Here is a 22,942-nt window from a genome sequence, read left to right on the forward strand (position 1 = left end):
TGAGATGGCATACAGAATGCACAGATACACACACATACACACAAGACCATTAAACAGAGAAAATACCACTTAAGAGGTGCAGATGAAGGTAATGGAATACAGATAAGTCATGATTTCCTATATTGTTGATATAATCAAATCATAATTTTGCATTGAGTTTCCTGGCAGCCAAAGGAAAAAGAAGGTTAGTCACTCATTTTCCTTTATTTGTAAGGAAAAAAATAATTCCTTAGGTGAAGCAGAGACTTTGCTAGGGTTGAGATCTATAAGAAACTTCTCATGGAGGTCTTACAGATGCCCCTTGAGGTTGGGGTGCATAGAGTTTTCAAAAATATCCTGGCTGGGCACGGTGGCTCATGCCTAATCCTAGCACTTTGGGAGGCTAAGACAGGAGGATTGCTTGAGCCCAGGAGTTTGAGACCAGCCTGGGCAGCATAGAGAGACTCCTTCTGTAAAAAAAAAAAAAAAAAAAAAAAAAAAAAAAAAAATTCAATTAGCTGGGCATGATGCTGCACATCTGTAGTCCCAGCTACTCAGGAGGCTGAGACAGGAGGTATCACTTGAGCCAGGAGTTCGAGGCTGCAGTGAGCCATGACTGTGCACTCCAGTCTGGGTGACAGAATGAGGCCCTGTCTCTAAAAACAAAACTAAACAAAACAAATTTCTAGCGTAATTCCCAAAGTAGATAACTTTCAGTGGTAGTGGGAATACCGCAGATTCCTGTTTTGAGTGGGATTTTCAGTGGTGTGCAGGAGCTGGCTGGTATCGGCTCTCAGGAGCTAACGGTGCACATCTCTTCCCAACTCTGCCTTCAGTGATATCACATTGGTAGCTTAAAATCAACGATGGGAGAGTATTCACACCATTGACAGAGGCAAGTGGACATATCAGAGACTTGTTTGTTTGCTTTGAGACCCAGTTTACCAGCACATCACTGGGAGTTTTCCATCTCCAAATTAGCCACTTTACAATGTCGTTTTTAAATGTCTGTAGCAGATTAACATGATTCCCTGCCCTCTTGCTCTTCACAGACCACCCTCACTAATGCAGGAGGAACTGGAAACTGGAACACAGGAAGCTGCCTATCATGAAGGCCCATGATAGACAAGAGAAGTCCGGCGTGAGTGATGGAGAATATTAAACAACAAATCTAAGCCATACGCCTAAAGCTGCCAAAGACCTTGAAAGGCCCAGCTGAGAAAAACATGAACTTCAAGTCTGGCATGTACGGCTATTTTAGGAATGATGAAAAACAACTTCATCAGATGTGGCTCCTGCCCTCTTAATAGGGTGAGGACAGGCAGCCTCTTCATCTTCTCATTGTTTTTTCCTAATTCTACTCCTTCATGTTCCCAGTTCCTCTCAAACTGGGAAAGATAGTAAGCCCATATAACTGCACTTCTAATCTCAGAAGTTTTTTTTTCTAATTACAATTGTTGTTTTATAAAAGCTGGGAATACTCTTTCATTTAACAATCTTTTTCAACAGTCATTTGTTGTTGAGGCCCTCCAATGTGCCAGGCATTGCACTAGACACTGGGACACAGAGACAAATAAGATTCATTTTCTGCTCTCAAAAAGCAGAGATAACGCCAGGTGTGGTGGCTCACACCTGTAATCCCAGCACTTTGGGAGGCCAAGGTGGGCGGGTCACTTGAGGTCAGGAGTTCAAGGCCAGCCTGGCCAACATGGTGAAACCTCATCTCCACTAAAAATACAAAAATTAGCCAGGTGTGGTGGCGGGAACCTGTAATCCCAGCTACTCAGGAGGCTGAGGCAGGAGAATCGCTTGAACCCAGGAGGCGGAGGTTGCAGTGAGCCAAGATCACACCACTGTACACCAGACTGGGCAACAAGAGCAAAACACTGTCTCAAAAAAAAAAAAAAAAAAAAAAAAAAAAGAAGCAGAGACAGACCAATAGGGACTCCAATGCGTGCATCAGGGATGGAAGTTTCAAGCAGTCTAGGTCAACAGGAGGGTCAGTGTGAAGGTCAGGAATTTGGTGGATAGGGATGTAGTACAAGAGGTGACCAACAGAAGCCAGGGTTTGAAGAGCCTTAAACATGGCAATAAAAAGTTAGAAATGGAGATGAGTTTGTGGGAGTCCACTGGGGAGAAGGCGGCGTGAGCCACAACACTCATCTGCACAGTGGCTCAGGGAGGATTCGAGAGATGGCAGCAGTGAGGTGGAAGCTATGAAAAGACCACAGCAGGGATCTAGAGGGACTCCCAGAAACCCAGCTCAGCTGAACAAGTGGAGTCAATTATGAAGCTGGGAAGAAGACCGGCTACATTAAAACCCTCAATGGTGGAAGTACAGACCCACCCTTTTCTCCGGTTCCACTATGATGGCGTGTTTATCTTCTTCTGACACGAGAACACACGTGGCAAAGGATGACTTTAACATGTTCATAACCAGGTCGTTGGAGAGGACGTCCAGCTTCTTAACTTGATCACCTGTCACGTTGGTAGAACCAGCAATGCCATAGCTACAGGGAACAAAAGCCACAAAAAATAAGCCATGACCACCAGAACATGTAGATGAGTCCATAAACCCACCAAAAGTGAGTGTTCGGTAAGATTTAGAAGAAAGAGTTCATGTCCTTTGCAGGGACATGGATGAAGCTGGAATCCATCATTCTCAGCAAACTAATACAGGAACAGAAAACCAAACACCACATGTTCTCACTCATAAATGGGAGTTGAACAATGAGAACACATAGACACAGGGAGGGGAACATCACACACTGGGGCCTCTCAGGGAGCTGGGGACTAGGGGAGGGAGAGCATTAGGAGAAATACCTAATGTAGATGACAGATTGATGGGTGCAGCAAACCACCATGGCATGTTTATACCTATGTAACAAACCTACGCATTCTGCATGTGTATCCCAGAACTTAAAGTATAATAATAATTTTTTTAAAAAAGGGCCGGGCGTGGTGGCTCACGCCTGTAATCCCAGCACTTTGGGAGGCTGAGGCGGGTGGATCATGAGGTCAGGGGATCGAGACCATCCTGGCTAACATGGTGAAACCCCGTCTCTATTAAAAAATACAAAAAAGTAGCCGGGTGTGGTGGTGGGTGCCTGTAGTCCCAGCTACTTGGGAGGCTGAGGCAGGAGAATGGCGTGAACCCAGGAGGCGGAGCTTGCAGTGAGCCGAGATCGTGCCACTGCATGCCAGCCTGGGCGACAGAGCGAGACTCCGTCTCAAAAAAAAAAAAAAAAAAAAAAAATACAAAAAATTAGCCGGGTGTGGTGGCGGGCGCCTGTAGTCCCAGCTATTCAGGATGCTGAGGCAGGAGAATGGCGTGAACCCGGGAGGTGGAGCTTGCAGTGAGCCGAGATCGCACCACTGCACTCCAGCCTGGGCGACAGAGCAAGATTCCGTCTAAAAATATATATATTTTTAGAAGAAAGGAAGGAGGACATCAGCTTGGGAGAACAAGGCAGGAAGGTCTGGACAGACCCTAGAGAGGAGGAGATACTATCATCTGCCTCTTCACCTCGAACCTGTCATGGTGCCCTGCACACTTTTGTGGTTAAATCAGTGTTTCTTAACTTTGTTTTCATTATGATTCCCCTAGGGAGCTTTTTAGAACATTTTTTCCTCAACCATACTCCCCCATGAAATATTTTTAATACTACAGATATAGTAGATATCTGTTTATTGCAGTATGTGTCTCAGTGCTTTTTACATAAAAAGTTTGCGGGTGTTTTTGGTTTTGCCCAGAAAGAACCAGTGTTGGCCCCCAAACACACGGGTTAAACGAATCAATAGAGAGACCCAGCAAGCAAGGAAGCCTGGGTCGGGGGTAGCCTGAGTTGCGAGCCAAGCCAAGGGGTTTATGGCTTTATAACTAAAAAGACCCTAAAAGAAACAAAGCATCAACCGGCCCCTCTGCCTCATTTCATAGAGGAGAAAACTCAGACCCAAGACTCCTGTGGACTTCTCCACACAGGCAGAGGGTAGAAGTGAGACGCTGCCTATGACTCCCAGGCAGAGGGTGGAGGCGAGACCCTGCCTATGACTCCCAGGCCAGGGCTCTCTTGGTGACACCCTGGGCCCCTGGCAGGAGTCCTAGGGCATGGAAGTTGCAGGGATCCTGGAGTTTTCACTATTTTTAAGCAACCTGCAAGTCAGTAATTATAGAATTCCCAGAATCCAGTGGCTTGTCTAAACGCAGCCTAGCTTCTTAGACTTACAGAAGCGGCAGGTTGTCATAGCCTGGGGTTGCCCTGAACACAGAAAGGAGGGAGACGTCTCACAGGAAGGATGCACAGAGCAAGGCGAGAGCCTTGATGTGGGAAGGGGAAAAGATGGGTCTTTGAAGACACCAGCAAGCCTCTGAAAGTGGGTGGTAAGGGCACACCCGCGCCCTTGGCCATGATGGCGATGTGCGCTCGCCTGGGAACTGACGGTCCCTGATCCAGTGGCCGTGACTGCTTCAGCTCCTGCAAGTGCATTTGCCCAAAACATAACTCGCTGTGACTGGCTGGGCAAAACTGAGCCCCTCCTAGAAACCATCCAAACCCACATGCCTGGTCCGGCCTGACTATCTCAGGAGCTAGCTCCGGCTGTCTTCTCGGGCCCGCCTGTCAGCGTCTTTCAGCCACTCTTGGCATCATTCCCTTTCCAGCCTGCAAAGCACATCTCATCCCACCAGCCCTCCTCCTGCTGCTTCTCTTTTCACCCATCACTCCTATTTCATGAGTAAAAGACCAAGATGTCTATCGAGCTTTGAGCTCCACCCCATGTCCCTGGGCTTTCGATCCTATTTCCACATGATCTTTTTCTGACCCCAATTGTGAGGCTGGGGCTTGTGCAGGAAGAAGGCAGCCAAAATCTGGGAGGCCAGAGGGACTTGGCAGGGCCCACCAGCTCAAATGCAGCTCCCTCAGTGACCCCACTAGCAGCAGTGCTCTCTCCTTTCCAGCCTGAGAGTTGCACTGTCAAAGTCACTTTATGATTATTTTTATTTTTATTTTTATTTTTATTTTTGGAGACAGTGTCACTCTGTTGTCCAGGCTGGTGTGCAGTTGCGTGATCTCGGCTCACTGCAACCTCCGCCTCCCAGGTTCAAGCGATTCTCGTGCCTCACCCTCCTGAGTAGCTGGGACTATAGCCGTATGCCACCACATCCAGCTAATTTTTGTATTTTTAGTACAGACAGGGTTTCACCATGTTGGCCAGGCTGGTCTCGAACTCCTGACCTCAAGTGATCCACCCACCTCAGCCTCCCAAAGTGCTGGGATTACAGGCATGAGCCACCGTGCCCAGCCCACTGTCAAACTCACTTCTGATTCCGGAGGGCAAATAGCACCGATGGACCAGAAGAAGGGCTTCAAGGCAGAGACCAGGTCCAGGCCTCAGCTCCCAGGCTCCCCTGCTCTTTCTGAGCCTCCCTCCCTTTCACATGTGTCCAAAGAGGGAAGTGAAGTCTGCCCCCACGCGGCTGTCAGAGGATTGCATGAGATGACATACACAAAAGGCCTAGCACTAATAGGTGCAGCCTGACAGGGACAGCTCGGGGGGCCGGGAGGGCTGGGCAGAGGGGCCGAAGGCACTGGACACGGATGAGGCACTGAGGCAGGTGCAGAAGGAAAGTCCTATATTACCTTTTGGCCCAAGTCCCATCTGCTCAGGCACTTCCCTCAGGAACACTCAGGCCATGTGGTCTCTTTTACTCAAAATCTTCCTAGACAGCTATCTGAGTGCTCATTTATTCTACAAATATTCACCAGGGACCTGCTGTGCACGGGGAACCGTTCTAGATGCTGGGGTTACAGTGCCGAACACGGTAGATCAGATCCCGCCCTTGTGGAGCGTATATTCTACTGGGGTGAGCACAAACAAGAAATAAATAAGTGTTTTGGAATGAAAAAGATATGTCAGATAGTGACAGATGCTCGCTGACATAAAACAAAAACAAGGTGACAGGAGAGGGAGATGAGAGGCTAGATGGTTAATTTAGATGGTCAGGAAGATCTCTAGGGGGGCATTCAAGCTGAATGGTACTTTGAATGTTTTTCGTAAGAATGGGAGGAAATAGGCCGGGCACGGTGGCTCATGCCTGTAATCCCAGCACTTTGGGAGGCCGAGGTGGGTGGATCCACCTGAGGTCAGGAGATCGAGACCAGCCTGATCAACATGGTGAAGCCCTCTCTCTACTAAAAACACAAAAAATTAGCCGGGCATGGTGGCGGGCACCTGTAGTCCCAGCTACTCAGGAGGCTGAGGCAGAAGAATGGCGTGAACCCGGGAGGCGGAGCTTGCAGTGAGCCGAGATTGCGTCACTGCACTCCAGCCTGGGCGACAAAGCGAGACTCCATCTCAAAAAAAAAAAAAAAAAAGAACAGGAGGAAATGGGCCAGGCACGGTGGCTCACGCCTGTAATCCCAGCACTTTGGGAGGCCAAGGCGGGTGGATCCCCTGAGGTCAGAAAATTGAGACCAGCCTGACCAATATGGTGAAGTCCTATCTCTACTAAATACATAAAAATTAGCTGGGCGTGGTGGCACATGTCTGTAATCCCAGCTACTTGGGAAGCTGAGGCAGGAGAATCCCTTGAACCCAGGAGGCGGAGGTTGCAGTGAGCCGAGATCGCACCATTGCACTCCAGCCTGGGCAACAAGAGCGAAACGCTGTCTCAAAAAAATAAAAAAAAGAAAGAATGGGAGGAAATGAAAAAGCCCTAAAGAAGCCCAAATAAGTCAGCTAGTAATGACTCCAGAGAAGAGCTGTTTGTTAGCAATTTAGCCAAAGGAAACAGTAAGTACATTTTTCACATATTTCCAAATGGAAGGGAGTGGGTACTATGTGCACATTTATACAAGTAATTTTGTAAAGCCTGAGGTCTTTTTCCTGTGATGCCTGGATCCAGGAAGCATCTAAATTCAGAGAGAGGAGACCGGAGGGAGAAAGTCCTTGTAAGGATGGCTCTGATTTGCAGTACTCCTGGGCCAGCCCCACCACCCAGAGACAGACAAGTTATCCTGTAACTGTGTCCCAAACACAGGGGCACCGTGACTTGTTTTGTGGGATTAAATGAAAGTAGGCTATTTCCTCATGCAGTGGACTGCATTTTCCGAGCTTGCAGACTCAGCAGTTGGCCAGATTAAAGTGAGAAGCAACTTCTGTTGCCCCAGATCATGCCCAGACCTACGAGAGGTTACAGTCAGTGTCAGGGTGGGTGACTTAGCAAATCATGACCACCAGCCAGCCCTCCCCACTGCCATTCCAAGAGTCTCAGATGGCTCCTACCCTTGGCACACAGAGGAACCAACACAGAGAAGCTGAGGGCCACAGAAGGGGTGGTACACCGTTCACGATGGTAGGCTTGTGGGGCCACACAGCACTCTGCAAGGACGCATGGCACAGGGTCCTCAGCACCTGCATGGACAGGGCGGCCCGCATCCACCAAGCCATGCGGGGCTCTCACCACAGAACTGACGGGGCTGCCCGCATCCACCAAGCCATGCAGGCCCTCGCCACAGAACTGACAGGGCTGGGGCCGGGCACAGTGGCTCACGCCTGTAATCCCAGCACTTTGGGAGGCCGAGGCGAGCGGATCACGAGGTCAGGAGATCGAGACCATCCTGGCTAACACAGTGAAACCCCGTCTCTACTAAAAATACAAAAAATTAGCCGGGGACGGTGGCAGGCGCCTGTGGTCCCAGCTACTCGGGAGGCTGAGGCAGGAGAAAGGCGTGAACCCGGGAAGTGGAGCTTGCAGTGAGCCCAGATGGCGCCCCTGCGCTCCAGCCTGGGCGACAGAGCGAGACTCCGTCAAAAAGAAAGAATGACGGAGCTGCCCGCGTCCACCAAACCACGCAGGACCCTCACCACCTGCAAGGACAGGGCCGCCCGCATCCACCAAATCACGCAGGACCCTCAGCACCTCCATGGACAGGGCTGCCTGCATCCACCAAGCCACACAGGGCCTTTAGCACCTGCATGGATGGGGCTGCCTGCGTCCACCAAACCACGGCAGGAAATGGGCTCCACCTGCTTCGCGTTTCCATGACCCCGCTGGGTGGTGACAGATGCGTTAAGCTGGTTCCTGCCCCTTTCTTGGGAACGCCTCTTCTCTTTACCCCCAGTAAGCGTCCTTCCCCTCTTCTAGCAGGAAGGACCCTTCTCCAGCTATCCTCCAGTTGTCTTTGAAGTGTAAGAGAACACATGAAGATAGATTACTCTGGGCTGCTCCAACTCAATGTTCACGTACTTTATAACTTTGCTAAGATATCTTGAGGGAAGGCTTCTCCTGGTTAATCCTGGCGTTAGGAAAAGCTTCCAGAAAAGCACAGGAAAAGGATCCTAAGGTAGAAACAGTGGGTCAAGAGAATAAATTCCCCCGGCTGCCAGCCAACTATGCTGCCATGTTGATAGCAACAATGTCCAGGTGTCCCTCATGTCTCCAGGTCTCCTCTGAGCCGCAGTGAGTTAAGCTGGCCACACCGTGCTGGTCCCACCACCCTGGCTTAGTCCTGTCAGGGCTGCACAGCCATGATGAGCAGTCAGGACCAGACGCAGGCTCCATCAAGCCTCCCCCGTCACACCTCGGGGACCCTAAGAAGGGCTTGAGATTTCCCCGAGTAACACATTTACACAGGTCAATGAAAAGTGGCAAGCAGGCAAGGCTTCCGTGATTCTGAGAGAGGAAAAATTCCTCAGAAACAAGCTCAAGGACTTAATTAGCTGAAGATCACATGCAGTTTATTTTCTCCATAAGTTTTCAGAAGCCCCCTTAGAAATACTAAATGTCTGGCCAGGCACAGTGGCTCACACCTGTAATCTCAGCACTTTGGGAAGCTAAGGCAGGCGGATTACCTGAGGTTCAGGATTTCGAGACCAGCCTGGCCAACATGGTGAAATCCCATCTCTACTAAAAATACAAAAATTGGCCAGTCGCAGTGGCTCACACCTGTAATCCCAACACTTTGGGAGGCTGAGGCAGGTGGATCACCTGAGGCTGGGAGTTCAAGACCAGCCTGACCAACATGGAGAAACCCTGTCTCTACTAAAAATACAAACTTAGCTGGGTATGGTGGCATGTGCCTGTAATCCCAGCTACTCAGGAGGCTGAGGCAGGAGAATCGCTTGAACCCGGGAGGCAGAGGTTGCAGTAAGCTGAGATCACGCAATTGCACTCCAGCCTGGGCAACAAGAGTGAAACTCCATCTCAAAAAAAAAAAAAAAAATTAGCCGGGCGTGGTGGCGGGCGCCTGTAATCCCAGCTAGTAGGGAGGCTGAGATAGGAGAGTCACCTGAACCCGGGAGGCGGAGGTTGCAGTGAGCCGAGATCACACCACTGCACTCCAGCCTGGGCAAAAAAGAGTGAAATTCCACCTCAGAAAGAAAAAGAAAAGAAATTATAAATGTCTGCCTGCTGATCAGTCATCATTCCTGAATGGCCCTGAAGGATAGATTAACAAGAGCATTCACTCTATATTCCAATCACCACCTAGAGAGGGCGGGCTCAGCAGCCTAGAGTCAATAGCAGGTGTGGGTCTCAGCTCCTGGTGAGACAGCCCTGAGCCCTAGCGAATGCAGCGGCTGCCATCCCCCGTCTGAAGTTCTAGGAAGACTCCAGGAGAGCCCAGTGGATCCAGAAGACCATCCTGCCTTGGAAGGCGTTTCCAGGAGGCAGCTGTGAACCAGAGGTGATGACACCAACTACCCTCCGTGGGACTCGACTGGAGCCTTGCACACACCACCCAGCTCCCTTCTAGATCAGCTCCCAATTTGCCATTCTCTAGGGATGGGAAAAGGCAGCAAATGAGGCTGGAGGGATATGGGAAACCATCACACGACCCTGTCCAAAAAAGCCCTCCCCAGGCCAACTGTGCCTTACAATTAAAGGAGAGGAACAGGTGAAATGGCCAAGACATGGGCTGAACTGAGCCAGATGTAAACCTCCAGGCCTAGCTCCCTTCCCCTACCTCCCTCCCCTGCTCTGCCCCTCAGCCCCACTGCCAGAAAAGGAGTCAACAGTAGCAGTTGGGGGCTGATCATGCAGGGGCAGGAAGGGCAATTTTGATTGAGCCAGTGACTTGATCTGCCAAGGAAATGTTTTCTGAATAAAAGTTATCACAGAGGTGGCCAGACACAGTGGCTCATGCCTGTGATCCCAACATTTTGGGAGGCCAAGGCATGTGGATCACTTGAGGACAGGAGTTCGAGACCAGCCTGCCAACATGGTCAAAGCCCACCTCTACTAAAAATACAAAAATTAGCCAGGTGTGGTGGCACATGCCTACAATCCCAGCTACTTGGAAGGCCGAGGCACAAGAATTGCTTGAACCCAGGAGGCAAAGGTTGCAGTGAGCCAAGGTCACACCACTGCACTCTAGAACGGGCCACAGAGACTCTGTCTCAAAAAAAAAAAAAAAATTTATCATAGAGGGGAAAGGCAACATTGTGAGGTTTTCTCCACCTTTTCTGTATTGGGCCTAAGAGGAGAAATGTCAGAGCATAAGGAGCAAAGTGGCTTGAGGCCTTCCTTGAGAAGTAGCAGGCAGCAAACAAGAGAACAGGGCACCTGCTGAGGCCAGAGCACCACTGGCCGCTACTGTTGGCAACAGAATTTAAATGCCCCGCACCTCACAGCAAGGAGGCCAAACGGGCTGCATAGAACCCCAGAGCCCCAGCCGAATCAGGGCACAGTGTTGCACAAATGTCAGCTACTTCCAGGCATGTGTGAATCAATAGGTGGCTTTCAAACCACGGCTGAAAATTCTAGGACATGCTTTTAAATTGCACTGTTCCAGAGACCCGGATATTTGGTTTCCATATATCCAAGTTGAAGCTGAGATTTTCTTGAGAATAGCAAAGAGAACAATGATGAGGAAACACTAATCATGATTCACACTATATTTAAATACTTTAAAATCTCGTTCTATGTTGTATCAAGTTTATAAAACAAGTATATATTACATGCAATCTATTGGGTAATTTCAATTAAAGGCTTTTTGTTGTTGTTTTTTGTTTGTTTTGAGACAGAGTCTCGCTCCGTCACCCAGGCTGGAGTGCAATGGCGAGATCTTGGCTTACTGCAACCTCCCCCTCCCGGGTTCAAGCGATTCTCCTGTCTCAGCCTCCCGAGTAGCTGGGATTACAGGCACCTGCCACCACACCTGGCTAATTTTTGTATTTTTAGTAGAGACAGGGTCTCACCATGTTGACCAGGCTGGTGTCGAACTCCTGACCCCACGATCCGCCCATCTTGGCCTCCCAAAGTGCTGGGATTACAGGCGTGAGCCACCACACCTGGCCAAAGGTTTTTTTTAATATAGAAAAAGCAGAGCTGATTAGCATGAGTCCTGCTCGTGCCCTTCACAGATCCATGGCCATTGAATAGGCACAGCTGTTGATATGGGGGCGCTTCTGGAAATAAAACCACAGCTGCTTGGAAGAACTAATTCACCTCTCAAGCCTTGGCCTAGAAAATGGAAGCCTGTTAACTAGGAAGCCTGTTAATTGATTTGGGTGGTAAGACGGATAATTAAAGCAACAAGGAAGGATCAGAGCCTGAAGCTGAAGGCACCAGCCTCCAGGAGATCTTCCATGGTGCCAGGAGCCTGGAAAATGTGTGCAAGAGTGAGACACCAGCATTGGTGACATCACATAACCCCCACTCCTGGGGAGGTAGGGGGGAGGGTCTAGTCTCTCAACCCCCACCAAGAGAGGACCGGGAGAGCCCTCAGGCATGGAAGCATGACCTTTATGGGGCATTGTCTTCATGGCCTTAGGAATGGCCCACTCTCTTCTAAGAGCCACTGGGAGGGAGGGCACAGACAGGGCTGCCACCCCTGGAAATGCTACCTAAAACCTCGATCTTAAGAGGCCTGGGCCCAACCTGCTTTGTACAAGAATGCCAAGAGTGGAGGGCCTCTGAGCTCACCTCACCTGTTGGGCCATCCTGAGGATGGCACAGCCCTCTACCTGGGACATTCGAAATTAGAACCTTACAGGCAGCCAGAGGTTTTTCTAGTGAGGTCTGAAGCAAAAGTACAGGGCACCAGGTAAATGCCGAGTGTATACTCCAAGGGGACCGAAACTCTTACATAAACATGGCACATCTGAATGTGCCTCTGGAGGAAGAAAGACCTATCAGTCTTGATCCTGGAAAAAAGAATATTTTGTTCACCATGTATCCTTAGCACCTAGAACAATGCCTGCACATAGTAAGTTCTCAATGTAAATGGATGAATAAATTTAGAGAGTAATAAAAGGATCCAAGAATTCCTAAGATCATAAACTCCATTAGACCCAGTGGTATTGGTAATGCCTGCCTGCATAACCTCTACCATCCAACACTCCCAACTCCTGAAAAAAACCCTCCAGATTAGCATAGCTTCTTGGTAAAAGTGTGTTTGCTGTGCAAACTTAGCGTTAGACAAATGCAATGGCCTTTCACCCGGTTCCTCAGGAAACTAGAGTGTAATGGTCAAGGCCCCAGGCTGGCACTCTACACCACCAGGGTTCCAATCCCAGCTCTGCTCCATGCTCAGCAGCCGGGGAAAGTCACTTAGCATCTGTGACCTCTGGTTCATCTGCAATATGGGAATGTAGTGTGTCTGCTTCATAGTCTACAGAGAGGGGGCATAACTGAGTTGATACAGGTAAAGTGGTCAGAAAAGTGCCTGGTGCATAGGCAAGTGTGCAAGAAATATTACCGTTTCCACCTCTAGCTCCCTTGGCATAACACAACCATGCGGAGAAGCAAGAACTCAGCACCAGAAAGACCTCAGTTCAAATTCTGCCTTTGCTTCTTACTGATGATGTGACATCAAGTTGTGCAAAGCCCCTGAGTGGCTGTTTCTGGCCATGTTTGTGGGGATCATGGATAATGCGCGCGGTGCACCTGGTTCATAGTACTCCCCACCAAGGCAGCCACATGACAATAGAGCCCCGCAGGCATCCACTAAGTAAGTGTGGGTTGATCTGGGGATTGGGGGAAGGGGAGGTATCTCTAAACCAGTTTTGCAGGCAACTTCTTGGAGGACAGCCAATAAGGAACTGGCAAAAGAAGAAAAAAGTGCTCCAAGTTTACATTTGATAAAATCTCACTGGGAATATTATTTATTTGAGATGTTCTTGACATTTCACTTCAATTTTATTCAAATTAGTTGGCCCTGCAGCCCAAGTAAAGTGGAAAAGCACCAGGCAGGGTTGAAGTCTCTGTGTCCTTTCCCTTTCCAGCCCCAGAGATACGAAGGAGCTCTTCCTGGAGTTTGGGGAGCAGAACTCAACTGGAGAAACTGCCTATAATATCTCTTCTTTACTTTTACTGTAAATCCCACTGAAAAATTTAAAGAGCTCTAAGTCATTTTAATTCATATGATGGAGAACACCTTAGAAGCATAGATTAATGTGGCCAGTATTTTGAAATCCTTGGATATTTTAATTAAATTTTAGCATTGTTTTCCAAGTTTACAAATGGTTTCTAAAACAGAATGAACCATTTCACAGCCATGGACTTTGTGACACTGAACATGCAGATTTGTGATGATTGGGGGAGGCTGCCTTCCACAGCATCTCTAAAACACTGAAGGACACAAGGATTGGAGCCAGGGGCTGACAGAACTAGAGCCCTCCAGGGCTGCCTGGATCTGCTGACTTAGGACCATCTCCTCCCGAAGTCACTGTGACTGAGTAACACGATTGCAGCAGCAACACTTCACACAGCACACAGAAGAACCAGACTCGGGCTCGGAACACGCAGCTCAACCAAAAGGGAGGGAGATTATTACTTAATCCTTATCACTAAAGTCAAAGGTAAGACTGGCTTGTTACTGCTTGATTCCATGGTAATCAACCATTTGCCCAGCCAGGAACATCCAAAGGTTCAGAAATACATTGAAGAGGTGCTAGTGAGAGCTGCTTTCAAAGGTCACAAATACCTGCCTCTGCTTGCATTCACCGGGGCCTAAACTGGTAAACAGGATGGAACGTGGCTGTCTGCGCTTCTTTTATGCAAACAAACTTGCAATTTCACTCCTTGGTCATGTGGAGAAGAGAATTCAAGAAACATAAAATAAATCTGGTAAAGTTTCTAAAAGCTTAATGCCAAAAACTGCAAATTGGAAGATAAGCCTAAACGTGTATTAGCTGACGTGTCATTCTAAAACGAAATCTGAAGCTCTTTATTATTTCTTCTGTCAAACAGCTGAGAGGACCCCATATATAAAAGTAACTCTTCTGGACATAATATGAGTCTGATGGGAGGACATTTCCTGCAGCCACTCTTGGGTGCAACATTGTTCTAATATGTAACATGCTAGCCTGGACTCTCTCCCTGCTGATAGCATACAGGCTACTGCTAAGAAATGAAGAACAAAACATGCAAATAAAAGTTTACAAAAAAATGAAAATAAAATAGACCAGGCACGGTGGCTCACACTTGTAAGCCCAGCACTTTGGGAGGCTGAGGCGGGTGGATGACGAAGTGAGGAGTTCAAGACCAGACTGGCCAACATAGTGAAACCCCGTCTCTACTAAAAATACAAAAATTAGTTGAGTGTGGTGGCAGGAACCTATAATCCCAGCTACCTGGAAGGCTGAGGCAGGAAAATCACCTGAACCTTGGAGGTGGAGGTTGCAGTGAACCGAGATCACACCACACCACAGCCCTCCAGCCTGGGTGACAGAGCTAGACTCTGTCTGAAAAATAAAGAAATATAGCCTTCAGGAAAACAATGATATTAATAACATTGGTACCCAATTAGTAAACTTAATTGATCCTCCTACGAGTCTCTGAGGCTGTCTCCATCTTAACAATTGGAGAAACAGGTTCAGTGATGTCACATCAACAGCCCAATCCTCACAGACGTTGAATGGCAGGGCCAGGAATCTAAGCTTGGCTCCATCTCTCTCCAAAACGTGCTCTGAATCCCTGCACATTCCTGTCTGCTAAACTGGTCCAGATCTCCTCCTCTTTTCTCTGCCTCAGGGCAAGCGTGCCAAAACAGACAGGCAAAACAGCCTGCAGCTGGACAGCATCTCCCAACAGATCACCCTCTAACATCTCAAGTTCAGCGTTTCCAAAATGTTGGGATCATCTTCCCTCCTTCCCCAGACTAAAAACCAGCTCCTCCTTGTTTTTGTTTTTGTGTTGTTTTGTTTTGTGGTGGCATGGGCTCTGCATTCAATTGCTAGGACCAGCGATTTCAGAAACTCCCTCACAGCCCTTCTCATCTAATCCATGCTCAGACTTCTTCCAAATCCTTCCTCTCCCCTCCAAGGCTGCAGCTCTGCTGGCTACTCAACTGACGGCTCCCCCTTGCCACTGGTTTTCCCATATCCTATCTTTCGCTCTTCCGATATACTTCCAGCCACACCTTCTCCAGATTTGTCTCCAGTCACGCAACTGCCCCACTCAAAAAACTTTCAAAATCCTTGATCTCTCCTTTTCTATACCCCCAAAAGTGTAAAGTGTTCACCCTTGCCATTTGATGCTTCCCCAATGTACCCACAATTTCACATCCACGAACGCCCTACCATGAGTACTCCATGCTTTGGTCAAATTGAGTGGGCAACTTTTCCAGAAACACTTTCCCACCTCAGGACTCCTCCCCCTGTGACCTCCAGCCTGAACTGCGGTCCAGCCGCCGGGCCTTTTGCTTCCCCTGCACGTGCCCATTCTTGGCGCTCCACAGTCCTTCACCATGAATCGTATTTTTGGCACCTCTATGAAAGCATCTTTCTTTTTTTTTTGAGACGGAGTCTCCCTATGTCGCCCAGGCTGGAGTGCAGTGGCGCGATCTCGGCTCACTGCAAGCTCCGCCTCCCAGATTCACAACATTCTCCTGCCTCAGCCTCCCAAGTAGCTGGGATTACAGGCGCCCGCCACCACGCCCGGCTAATTTTTTTGTATTTTTTGGTAGAGACGGGGTTTCACCGTGTTGGCCAGGATGGTCTCGATCTCCTGACCTCGTGATCCGCCCGACTCGGCCTCCCAAAGCGCTAGGATTACAGGCGTGAGCCACCGCGAAAGCATCTTTCAGACCGGGCGCAGTGGCTCACGCCTGTAATCCCAGGACTTTGGGAGGCCGGGGCGGGCAGATCACCTGAGGTCAGGAGTTTGAGACCAGCCTGACCAACATGGAGAAACCCCGTCTCTACTGAAAATACAAAAAAATTAGCTGGGCTTGGTGGTGGGCGCCTGTAATCCCAGCTATGGGAGGCTGAGGCAGGAGAATGGCATGAACCCGGGAGGCGGAGGTTGCAGTGAGCTGAGATCGCCCCACTGCACTCCAGCAAGGGCAACAGAGCGAGACTCTGCCTCAAAAAAAAAAAAAAGAAAGAAAAAGAAAGCATCTTTCAAAACCTCTATTGCGTGTTAGAACGATACAAATATTTTTTCCTACAGAGTAAACTCTGTGTTGTTCTCGTCTTCTGGAACTTTGTACATGGTGGATGTTCAGTAATATTTTGTTAATTGAATGAAATCAGTGAATTCTTCAGTCAGTGATTTGGAAATGGATACAAAGGGAAGTCAACTCCACAAAACAAAAAACCTGAAGCCACTGGAGCACCACTTTCTCCCAAAGGAATGCAAAGTGGACAACACTCGAATTTGACATTTGAACCACAACTTCATCAGCTTGACTTCAAGTTGCAGACTGTTCTGATCTGCACAGTTTCTCTCCCAAGAGTGGATGGAGGGAGCCAGAAGCCCAGAGGGAAGTCTCCCAGGGCACATTTGCCCAAAGCAATGACTCCTTGGTATCTAAGCCTGAATTCACATCAAAAATGTCGCCTGGCCAACATGGCTAAACCCTGTCTCTACTAAAAATACAAAAATTAGGCCGGGCGCAGTGGCTCACACTTCTAATCCCAGCACTTTGGGAGGCCGAGGCAGGTGGATCACTTGAGGCCAGTTCGACCCTGGTCAACTTGGCAAAATCCCATCTCTACTAAAAATACAAAAATTAGCCAGGTATGGTAGTGTACGCCTGTAATCTCAGCTACTCGGGAAATTGAGGCAGGAGAATCACTTGAACCCGGGAGGCAGAGGTTGCAGTAAGCTGAGATTGCACCACTGCACACCAGCCTGAGTGAGAGTGAGGCCCTGTCTCAAAAAAAAAAAAAAAAAAAAAAAACCAGTTAACTAATAGATGAGATTTAGAGTTTGGTGAATTCTAATTGATTTCTAAAAAATAAAGGAAGAGATGTGTAGTGTGGCCAAAAGACCTCCAATCCGGGGTTCCTGAGATCCCGGCCACAGGCCAAGTCATCTCATCTTCCTCGGTCTCAGGGTCCTCTTCTGTATGAGGAGGTGATAGACTAGCTGACTGTTGAGTCTCTTTCAGTCTAAAACTCAATGATTCCATGAACATTTTAACAGGAGCAATGAAAGTGACTACAATAGCAACTTTAGGTTACACCAGGCTCTGTGCTTAAACTCCTGATGTTTCCATAATGATCCTGGGTGAGCTCCCTAAACTGGCTCCAGTGAGGTTCCTGCAAATCTGCAATCACCCCGTCCCTCTGGGTACATGCTCTTCTAGGTCCGGTCTTCAGCACTAACAAGATCTTTGCAGGAATGCTGGTTTTTCTTTCTGGATTTCAATGCCTGGAATGAATGTAGGTTGGGGGCCTGGCTTGAGAATCATGCTACCTGCCTGATGACATGTGATACTGAAAATGGCCAAACGCTGAACTTCCCACAAGATCACCTCAGTGTCCAGCATCTAGTCCTGTCAGCTACCCCAACAACCAGGCATGCACACCAGTTCCAAGGGTACAGCACTGTAATACCCAAAGGCTAGTAAAAACCAAAGTGCCCCAAAATAGAGAAAAACTTCAATACCTCATGATGTGTGCAGGGGAGCAGCACACAGCAGTTAAAAGGAGGTAGATGTAGATGTCCCGATATTAATGGATGTTTCTTGAATAATGTTAAATAACAAAGCAAACTACAGAAATGTGTATTGTGATCCCATTTTGTCTGCTATTATAGGCATATGTAAATATGTGTTCATGTGTAAACTTATATGACTGTAAAAGAGTATCCGGAAAAATAAGCAGTAAATTATTTGCAGTGGATACCCCATGGGATATATATGGGGTGGGTTTCACTCTTCCCTTGAATTCTTTTGAATGGTTTAAATTTTTGTCAATGAGTGCAACATAGTATTTCTTTAAAACCTGGTATTCACAACTATCTAGTATAAAAGTACACATATTGGCCAGGCACAGTGGCTCATACCTGTAATCCCAGCATTTTGGGAGGCCAAGGTGGGCAGATCGCTTGAGCCCAGGAATTTGAGACCAGCCTGGGCAACATAACAAAACCCCATCTCTACAAAAACACAAAAATTATCCGGCATGGTGGCACATGCCTGTAGTCCCAGCTACAGGGGAGGCTGAGGTGGGAGCACCAATTCAGCCTGGGAGGTTGAGGCTGCAGTGAGCCATTATCACACCACTGCACTCCAGCCTGGGCAACAGAGTGCGACTCTATCTCAAAATAAATAAATAAATAAAACGCATACCTTACGTAGCCAAAATTAACATGCTTCATCCAGGCCCCACCATCAAAATCTCACTATCCAAGGTCCCACTGTCTAAGGTTACTTAGACAGTGGGACACCTCAAAACACATCTTACATTTCTCAGTCTCTCTAGGGGTGTGAAAGGTACTGACACATTTTTTAAACAATATCAGACATGACAAGCCCTTTTTTTTCTTTTTTTGAGACAGAGTCTTACTCGGTCGCCAGGCTGGAGTAGAGTGGCACGATCTGGGCTCACTGCAACCTCCGCCTCCCGGGTTCAAGCAATTCTCCTGCCTCAGCCTCCCAAGTAGCTGGGATTACAGGCGCCTGCCACCATGCCTGGCTAATTTTTGTGTTTTTAGTAGAGACAGGGTTTCACCATGTTGGCCAGGCTGGTCTCAAACACCTGGACTTTGAGTGATCTACCCGTCTCAGCCTCCCAAAGTGCTGGGATTACAGGTGTGAGCCACCACACCCAGTCGACAAGCCCTCTTTTTAAAATATATCCCTGGTCCTCAAAGGCAGTTAAAGCTGTGAGCCACCTATACTAGCTGTAAATTAAAGCTTAAGATTTCACCTGGGTATGTTTCTAAAATAAGAATCCTTAGGAATGTATTATTAAGAGGGGCCAGAGGCAACAGTAATGGAGTCATCACCTTCCTTAACATGTCTGCTTAATATTCAAAAATAAATGTGATCATACCACTCCTTTACATGAATTACCTCCACCAGTCCATACTGTGGGACCAAAGCCAGACAGCCTGCCAGTAAGAAAAGGAATCTAGATTGCAGGATGCGGGGCGGAGAAGAGTTTTTAAGAATGGAGAAATGCATTCCAAACCCAAGTAGCAGGGTTGTATTTGTTCAGGTCAGCTCTGAGCATCATGCGTCTTTTTTTTTTTTTTTTAAGACAAAGTCACGCTCTTGTCGCGCAGGCTGGAGTGCAATGATGCGATCTCGGCTCACTGCAACCTCTGCCTCCTGGGTTCAAGCAATTCTCCTTCCTCAGCCTCCCGAGTAGCTGGGATTACAGGCGCCTGCCACCACACCCAGCTAATTTTTGGTAGAGACGGGGTTTCACCATGTTGATCAGGTTGGTCTTGAACTCCTGACCTCAGGCAATCCACCTGTTTCGGCCTCCCAAAGTGCTGGGATGACAGGCTAGAGCCTACGCGCCCAGCCCATCATGTGTCATTTTTATAGTGTGCATAAGTGCGGGGAATGTTAGTAAAGTGTATGGACAATCTGAAAACCCAGTTACACTTCAGTTAAAAGTGTGGATCAGTTAGCTAGAAAATACCTGCGCACGGCGGCTCATGCCTGTAATCCCAGCACTTTGGGAGGCCAAGGCATCACCGGAGGTCGGGAGTTCGAGACCAGCCTGACCAACATGGAGAAACCCCGTTTCTACTAAAAAAAATTACAAAATTAGCTGGGCATGGTGGCACATGCCTGTAATCCCAGCTACTCGGGAGACTGAGGCAGGAGAATCGCTTGAACCTGGGAGGCAGAGGTTGCGGTGAGCCAAGATCGCACCATTGCACTCCAGCCTGGGCAACAAGAGCAAAATTCCATCTCAAAAAAAAAAAAAAAAAGAAAAGAAAAAGAAAATACCTGTGCACACCAACACAAACGAAAGGATGTTGTGTGACTTACAAAAAACCTCACAAGAAGGGGTCCTTTGAGTCTCCACTCCACTTGACCCCTTGCTACTCACAATGTGATGAGTAGACAAACAGTATCTGATGGGCAGCACCCACCACAGGAGAACTTCTTAGAAATGCAGAATCTCAGGACCTGTCCCAGAGCTATGGAAGGAGGGCACACATCTTACCAAGATCCCCAAATGATTCCTGTGCCCAGTGACGTTCGAGATGCACTCCATAGCGCATTCAGAACCATTCTACAAACCACTTTTGAGCTTTCCACTAATTGGGCAGAGGCTGCACACACCATCATTGCAAATCGATAGGGGTTTTGAAGCCCTGGGTGTTTCCTGTTTCTGGCACAGCATGGCAACTGTCCCAGCAAGGGGCAGCCCACGGGAGCTCCTTTGCACACAAGCCCTGCTGCTCCTAAAGGCTCTGGACACACAGGAGACCTCCCAGCCTGCTTGCGGGGGGGGCGGGGGGGACACTCGCTCCTAACAGGTCTTGTTTCAGGTCAGAGATAACTGGATTAGAAACCTGACTTGGGTCCCTAATTGCAGAAAGAGTGAAGGAGGACAAAGAAGAAATGGGGAAGGAAGGCACCTGAGCTAGCACTTTCCTGTCTGAGGCTAGGGCGGGTATGACGGGCAGGCCAGGTGCCCACACTTGGCCGGCTGAGAGGGGTACGAGGCAGGCTGCTCAGGGCAGAGAAGAGGAATGCAAGATGGAATCAGGTGTACACCTGTGAGACGGACCCCCAGGTGGGCCCCTCCAAGGTCAAGGGAGGAGATGAGGACTTGAGTGAGGCTGAGCCAGCTTCTGGAGAGAGGGGCTACCAGACAGAGAGCGAGAGAGGCGCTCAGACATCAGACGGACAGACAGAGGCTGACGGCAGGAGGCTCAGAGGGCCCAACGTCAGCCCGCCGGGCAGGCTCCCCAGGCAGACAGACAGGACGGGGCCCACCGCCCAAGGCCCGACTCACAGGTGCGCGATGCCCGCCTTGCGCACCGCCGAAGAGATGGCTTTGACTGCTGTGCAGAGCGAGTTGAGCAGCTGGGTCAACTCGCCCGTGCCGCGGGCCTTCCTGCCCTCCTCCATGACGAAGCGGGTCAGGGTGTTGACGTCCGTGTCGAAGGGCGCCTGGTCAGCCATGCTTGAACCGGGTAGAGCGCGGGGCTGCAGGTGCAAGCGGCAGGTGCGGGGCTGCAGGTGCGGGCGGCAAGAGAGGGCAGTAGGCACTGGCCGCAGGTGCGGAGCTGCAGGTGCGGGCGGCAGGTGCGGGCCGCGGGACCTGGCGGGAGGACTGACAGACCGACTGCCGCCCCGAGTGTCCGCAGCGCTCGTGGTGCAACTGGGCCAGGCCAGGCGCCGGCGGGTGAATCGCGGAAACCTTTAGACGCGGGTCGGCCCCCCGCCCCCGGGAACACTCTTGCGCCCCGCCTACCCCGCGGACCAGACCGCGGCTCCGCCTGCTTGGATCTTCAGACAAGGTCGGGGATCCTCCCTGCGGTCTCCCAACCCCCGCCCCCACGCGCCCTGCCGCCCCCTAGTCTTCCTGGGCTGTCGCCCCCCACACACACCCCTCCGTGCCCTCCACCCGCACTGTGGAGCGGGACTCGGGCCATCGGACTCTGCCAGAGAGAAAGCTATGACTGTTTCCTCCAAAATCATAAAACGGAAGTTCAGAAAGGTTAAGTAACTTGCTCAATGCCACCAGCTAGGCAGCGAAACCCGCAGCCAGTCCACATGGCCTGGCTTTAGCTCTGCAGCTCCTGCCCCGTGTGGCTGCCTGCCCCCGCCCCCTGCCCAAGCCCCGTCCACTCTGCCTGGCCTGTCACCTGGCCCTTCTGTCCCCGCTAGGAGACACAGAGTCCCCGTTTCTCACCCATCTGAGGGCCCACGTCTGAATCCTTAATCCAGGCCTCTTCTCAAGATTCCTAGAATTCGAGAGCTATTGAGTATTTGAATTTCCAAGATGTGAGTCTCGCCCGGAAGTTTCCCGGAAAACGGTCGCTGACACAGAGTCCTCGGCTACCACACAAAGGCCAGAGGGCTCCACCGCCCGCATCCTGACCCCCTGGTAGCCACAATGCTGCAATTGATGTGCTGATTCACGAAACAACACCTATTGAGCACCTGCTGTGCTGAACACTGTCCTACCTTCCAGGGGTGGAGCCTGATCCAAACAGACAAAACTCCTGCCCTTTTCGAGTGTACGTTTTCACAGAGAAACAGTAAAAATAAATATATAAACAATAGATTAGTTTGTTACATAAGCCATAAGTACCATAGAGAGAAACGAAATAGAAAAGGAAGACACGGAATGTGGAGGGGAGAAGAGGGTGAGCAGAGGCCTCAGTAAAAGCTTCTCTGAGAAAGGGATATGTGAGCAAAGAGGTGAAGGATGCAACGCGCCGGTGGAGATGGGAAGGAGAGCGGTTTCCTCACCGGGAGAGCCAGTGCACAGGCCCTGGGGTAGGAGACCATGTTTCAGGTTCAGGGAATGGCCAGGAGACCGGTGGAGCTGAAATAGAGCTAGCAAGGGTCAGAGGTGGAGGAGATAAGGCCAGCGGGAGGATGCAGAGGTGAGGTCTAGAGGGCCAAGTGAGGTTTGACTTTGACTAGGAGGAACCCACTGGAGAGTTTGGAGAAGAAGAGAGGCATGGTCTACCCTGTGTCTTCATACTGCGGCTACTGTGTGAAGATCAGACTGAAGACAGTGCCCTCCAGGTTACTAGGAGATAGTGAGCCAGGTGTTAGCAGTGGAGGTGGTGGATTCTGGACAT

General features: G+C 49.5%; 1 protein-coding gene across 3 annotated transcripts in view, besides 1 other annotated feature; it reads right to left on the reverse strand.

Moving 5' to 3' along the window:
* FBP1 (fructose-bisphosphatase 1) overlaps positions 1-22,261 on the reverse strand; it is a 37,131-nt gene extending 14,870 nt beyond the window's left edge. Inside the window, exons 1-3 of one of the 3 annotated variants that reach the window (NM_001127628.2) lie at positions 22,042-22,261; positions 21,139-21,332; positions 2,327-2,489 (exon numbers count right to left, since the gene is read on the reverse strand). In NM_001127628.2, the coding sequence (NP_001121100.1) occupies positions 2,327-2,489; positions 21,139-21,308 (333 nt within the window). In that variant the 5' untranslated portion in view covers positions 21,309-21,332; positions 22,042-22,261. Of the gene's footprint in view, positions 1-2,326; positions 2,490-21,138; positions 21,517-22,041 lie in introns of those variants that run through there. The other 2 variants (XM_006717005.5, NM_000507.4) reach the window with 2 other exon arrangements.
* Positions 21,590-21,649: a silencer, noted in NCBI's record as "silent region_20057". NCBI's record gives its function as "represses an Ori minimal core promoter by ATAC-STARR-seq in GM12878 lymphoblastoid cells {active_cell/tissue: GM12878}" and the evidence as "EXISTENCE:reporter gene assay evidence [ECO:0000049][PMID:35858748]".

The sequence above is a fragment of the Homo sapiens genome, chromosome 9, assembly GCF_000001405.40.
Source record: "Homo sapiens chromosome 9, GRCh38.p14 Primary Assembly".
Taxonomy (NCBI): domain Eukaryota; kingdom Metazoa; phylum Chordata; class Mammalia; order Primates; family Hominidae; genus Homo; species Homo sapiens.